The sequence below is a fragment of the Homo sapiens genome, chromosome 13 (genome assembly GCF_000001405.40).
Source record: "Homo sapiens chromosome 13, GRCh38.p14 Primary Assembly".
NCBI classification, from domain to species: Eukaryota; Metazoa; Chordata; class Mammalia; order Primates; family Hominidae; genus Homo; species Homo sapiens.
Window position 1 is genome coordinate 60,970,265 of NC_000013.11, and position 5,296 is coordinate 60,975,560.

Genomic DNA, 5,296 nt, shown 5'->3' on the forward strand with positions numbered 1-5,296 from the left:
TTTGGATAAGGATAAAGTTTACAGGTATATTATACCAGGCATTTAGATACAAAAATATTACAAGTCAAATGGATCTTAGTTTGGGCTAGTTCTCTAAAAATCAGTAGTTTAGGCAACAGGCAGAGGCTGGAACAGTTTGGAGAGCTCAGAAGAAGACTGGAAAATGTGGGAAAGTTTGGAACTTGCTAGAGACTTGTTGAATGGCTTTGGCCAAAATGCTGATAGTGATACGGACAATAAAGTCCAGGCTGAGTTGGTCTCAGATGGAGATGAGGAACTTGTTGGGAACTGGTGTAAAGGTCACTCTTGCTATGCAAAAAGACTGGTAGCATTTTGCCCCTGCCCTAGAGATTTGTGGAACTTTGAATGTGAGAGAGATTATTTAGGTATTTGGCATAAGAAATTTCTAAGTGGCAAAGTGTCCAAGAGGAAGCAGAGCATAAAAATTTGAAAAATTTGCAGCCTGATTATGGAGTAGAAAAGAAAAACCCATTTTCTGAGGAGAAATACAAGCCAGCTGCAGAAATTTGCATAAGTAACGAGGAGCCAAATGTGAATCTCCAAGACAATGGGGAAAATGTCTCCAGGTCATGTAAGAGACATTCGTGGGAGCCCTTCCCATCCCAAGCCCAAAGGCCTAGGAAGGAAAAATGGTTTCCTGGGCCAGATCTGAGGCACCCCCTGCTGTGTGCAGTCTCGGGACTTGGTGCCCTGTGTCCTAGCTGCTCTAGCTGTGGCTAAAACCAGGCCAAGGTACAGCTTGGGCCATAGTTTCTAAGGGTACGAGTCCCAAGCTTTGGCAGTTTCCATGTGGTTGAGGCTGCAGGTGCACATATGTCAAGAATTGAGGCTCAGAAACCTCTGCCTAGATTTCAGAGGATGTATGGAAACACCTGTATGACTAGGCAGAAGTTTGCTTTAGGGGTGGGGCCCTCATGGAGAACCTGTGCTAGGGCAGTGCAGAAGGGAAATGTGGGGTTGAAGCCCTCACACAGAGTCCCTACTGGGCACTGACTAGTGGAGCTGTGAGAAGAGGGCCACCATCCTCCAGACACCAGAATGGTAGAGCCACAGACAGCTTGCACCACACACCTGGAAAAGCTACAGGTATTCAACACCAGACCATGAAAGCAGCTGGGAGAGGGGCTGTACCCTGCAAAGCCACAGGGGCAGAGCTGCCCAAGGTTGTGGGAGCCTACCCCTTGCATCACTGTGACCTGAATGTGAGACATGGAATCAAAGGAGATCATTTTGGAGCTTTAAGTTTTGACTGCCTTGTTGGATTTTGGACTTGCATGGGGCCTGTAACCCCTTTATTTTGGCCAATTTCTTTCCACATATTTGGAAAGGCATGATTACATGTTGAAATGTGAGGACGTGAGATTTGGGAGGGACCAGGGATGGAATGATATGGCTGTGTTCCCACCTGAATCTCATCTTGAATTGTAGTTCCCATAATCCCCACACGTCCTGGGAGGGACCCAGTGAGAGGTAATTGAATCATGGGGGTGGTTACCCCCACCCTTCCTTCTGTTCTCATGATAGTGAGTGAGTTCTCACAAGATCTGATGGTTTCATTAGGGGTTTTCCCCCTTTTACTTGGCACTTCTCTCTTGCCTGCCACCATATAAGACATTCCTTTGCTCTTCCTTCATCTTCTGCCATGATTGTGAGGCCTCCCCAGCCATGTGGAACTGTGAGTTCATTAAACCTTTTTCCTTTATGAATTACCCAGTCTTGGGTAAGTCTTTATTAGCAGTGTGAAAGCTGACTAATACAACTCTCTCTCTCTCTCTCTCTCTCTCTCTCTCTCTCTATATATATATATATATATATATATATATATATACGTATATATTTTACTTAAATTACACAAGTATCCCTTCATTCAGATTTCACATGAGTTTGCAAGGTCAATATTTTAACCTCAGTAACTTTGCATCTTATTGACTATTTTAAAGTTAATATGGCTGCCTTTTACTTTCAGGGCAGAGAAAATTAGTGATACTTAGACTTACTGGTAATATATCATTTGAATGAATTCAATGTATGCTTTCAAAAAAAAAAAGTCACCCTGCAAACAATTTCTCTATAAATAGAATTAATTAATGCTGTTTTCTAGATTTTCAAAAGCTTTATATTAAAAGCTGACTCAATCCTCAATTGCCATTGGGTTGTGAACTTGATGCAGGTGGCTTCTTTATAACTTGACAAAAGTCTAGAGAGATTTAGCTGAGTTTTACAAATTCATACTGCATGAATTTCTGTTGATTTATTACCTTATTTGACAGAGATGAAACATGTGAACAAACATCCTAGTTTTCTTGTTTTGAACATAAAAAAGAAACAGTCTCTCAGGTGACAATGAGGCATTAATTTATATGTTTGGTAAGCCCAAACCCACTTTAAAAAAATTTGTCCATAATATAAGGAGTCATTCCTTGCTTGATTTAATTAATATTAACAATATGTTAATAGAATAAACTGACAAAAATTCACTACGATTAATTTCTTTTTACCAACATTTTTTTCTTCCAAAGGTAAATTGTTATATACACACACATGTATCTGTACCCATGCATGCAAACACACACATACCTAAGCTTGTTATATTATTATTTTCATATTACTATTGTAAGTTAATGATCTTATATTTCAGTTAATTGCTATACTTGGTAATGCCTCTGTTCTAGAACTTTGAAAAATAATCAACATTTGAATAGAACGAAAATCTTGAAATCTCAACATAGTAAGACATGCTGAGGTAGAGAATAAAATGCAGATCACTCAAAAGAATTTGGTAATGTCAGTATTTTCATTCTTTTGTAGTCATTACTTGGGGCAGAGATGATAATAGCAACTGACCAAGAGAACCTTGTTGTTTCTCTCAGCTGCATCAAACTTTAGACAGGCCCCTGGCCTTTTCTTAGAGCATTTACCCTAGAAAAATGTGTAGTTACAAATTCTTTCTCTATCTCTTTGAGATACAGTTGAGCCTTGAACAATGCAGGAGATAGAAGTGCTGACCCTTGTGCAGTAAAAAAAATCTATATATAACATTTGACTACCTCGAAACTTAACTACTGATAGCCTACATTAACCAGAAGGCTTACTGATAACACAAATAGTCAATTAACACATATTTTATATGATACATGTATTATATACTGTGTTTTTACAATGAGGCTAGCTAGAGAAAAGAAATGTTATTAAAAAATCATAAGGAAGAGAAAATCCATTTACAGTATTGTGCTGTATTTATCAACACTGTAAATTTACATCATCTGTTTACGAAATAAATTGTCCATCTGAAATCATGGGCAACTGCTGCTGCAGATCTCAATCTATGGTACATATTAAGCAGTTCAACTTTTTATTGTAATGCCGCGGCTTTTCTCTGCTTCTTGGGAGCACTTCCAACGTCATTAGCGGCACTTTGTTGGCTCCCATGGTATTATTTATGGCTTACAGTATTACACTTAGCATGATGAAAAGACGCAAGAACCAAGAGATATTACTGTTTGTGGTACACAATTTACTGGAGAGTTGAACTGCTTACATGGAGATGATAAGTGTCACACAGGATTTTAAGCAGATACAACACTTCAGCTTACTGCAATAGCAACAGGAGGTGGCTATGAAATTATTGCAGTGGTACAGTATGCACTCAGTTAATTTTATGCATTTGTGATTCAACACTGCACGTTTACATTTGCTTATATTTCTCCCCACTGTGAATGGCACCAAGTACAATCTGTGTGTGTAAGTAAGTTTTGATAAATTTTAACTTATTATAAGGGATTTATGTATATTTTATGGTATTAAATAATAAAAATAGACTAGTATCTATGTATATTTTATGCAGTTATGACAAATCTGTTTTTGATATTTCTAGGCTACATGGTTAATCAGTGAGTTTCAAATCGTTGCAAATCTCCAAAAATATTTGCTATATTTATTGAAAAAAAAAATCTGTGTATAAGTGGACCCATGCAGTTTTGAACCTGTGTTGTTCAAGGGTCAGCTGCATATGTACATTTTTAAAAAGCCTCTTGCTAGTTTTCCAACCCAGGAATGTCTTTCTCAAGGACCTGGGAGCCATGTCTTTGAAATGTAATCATTAAGGAAGAAAGCACTCCTCTTACCTCCAGGGCTCTGTTCATTTGGGGTCAATTAGCAAACACAGATGGCCTAATCACAGAGAAAAACATTTGTAAACTCAGGAAAAGCTTCGTGTGCTCAACAGATCCCATTCATCAACCTCCACACTAAAGTCTTTCTTCCAGTACTTTTACTAGCTACTGAACTAGCACTTAAAAACCCTTCCACCTTTTGTTTGTTATCAGAGTTAACCACAGCCTGACTTCTGGCTTCTCTCCTCTATTGCAGTAGCTTGAAATAAAGTCTTCTTTATCAATTTAACTTTGTCCAGTAAAGTTTTGCTTTGAGTCAACCAACGGGCAGGAGAGAGGATTTTGTGGATGAAAATAATTCTTCACATTCTACTTTTGGTGTTGTTACCGACCACAGGTTCTTAGGTTCCCATGCAATATAAACTGAGAGGAGGCCAGGCAAACTTTTCCCAGCTAGGGTTTATTAAGACTTATGCCTGGACAGATTGGGCAAAATGGAGACAGCCCAGAGGATGCGTTCTGCAGCTGGTTCCCTGAGCAAAGGTTCTTGTTGTGTTTTGAGGAGGGTGACATGAAAAACTCATGAGTTAAGAAGAATCATTATATGTGTGAGGTGGAGTGCTGATGCACAGGCATAGTAAGAGATCATGCAAAAACATACATCCCGTAATCAGAAAATGGCAGATACCCCTTTCCTGGGCATGGATTTTCATATTGAAATGAGGCAAAGTGTAAAGATTGGTCATCCTCCTAGTCTTGTGTGCATGCAGGTGATAGAATTAACTAACTCCCTTGAGTCAGAGTTAAAGTGTGATGCTTCTTATTTTAGTTTCTTCAAGGCCCTGAAATCTGCAGGTATGGCGTCCTTCCTATTTCTACTCTGTCCCATCTCTACTCTATCTCAGTGTCACATTGGGAGGGGAGTAGGCAAAGGAAAGGAATTCATTGTGTTTTTCTGAGGCATTTTCTATAGGTAGGGCAAATCTTAAGTAAAGTTACAAAGAAAAAAATTTCCTTTGTTCCCTTCCATCTCTCTTCTATAGTTCTACTCTTCTCATGTATTTACTCCAGAAGGAAGGAGGTAAGAAATCAAGGAAGGCTTTCTGAAAGTAGTGATATTTGATGGTAATAACAGTGAGAGAGCTGGCTATCTCAGATGGGTA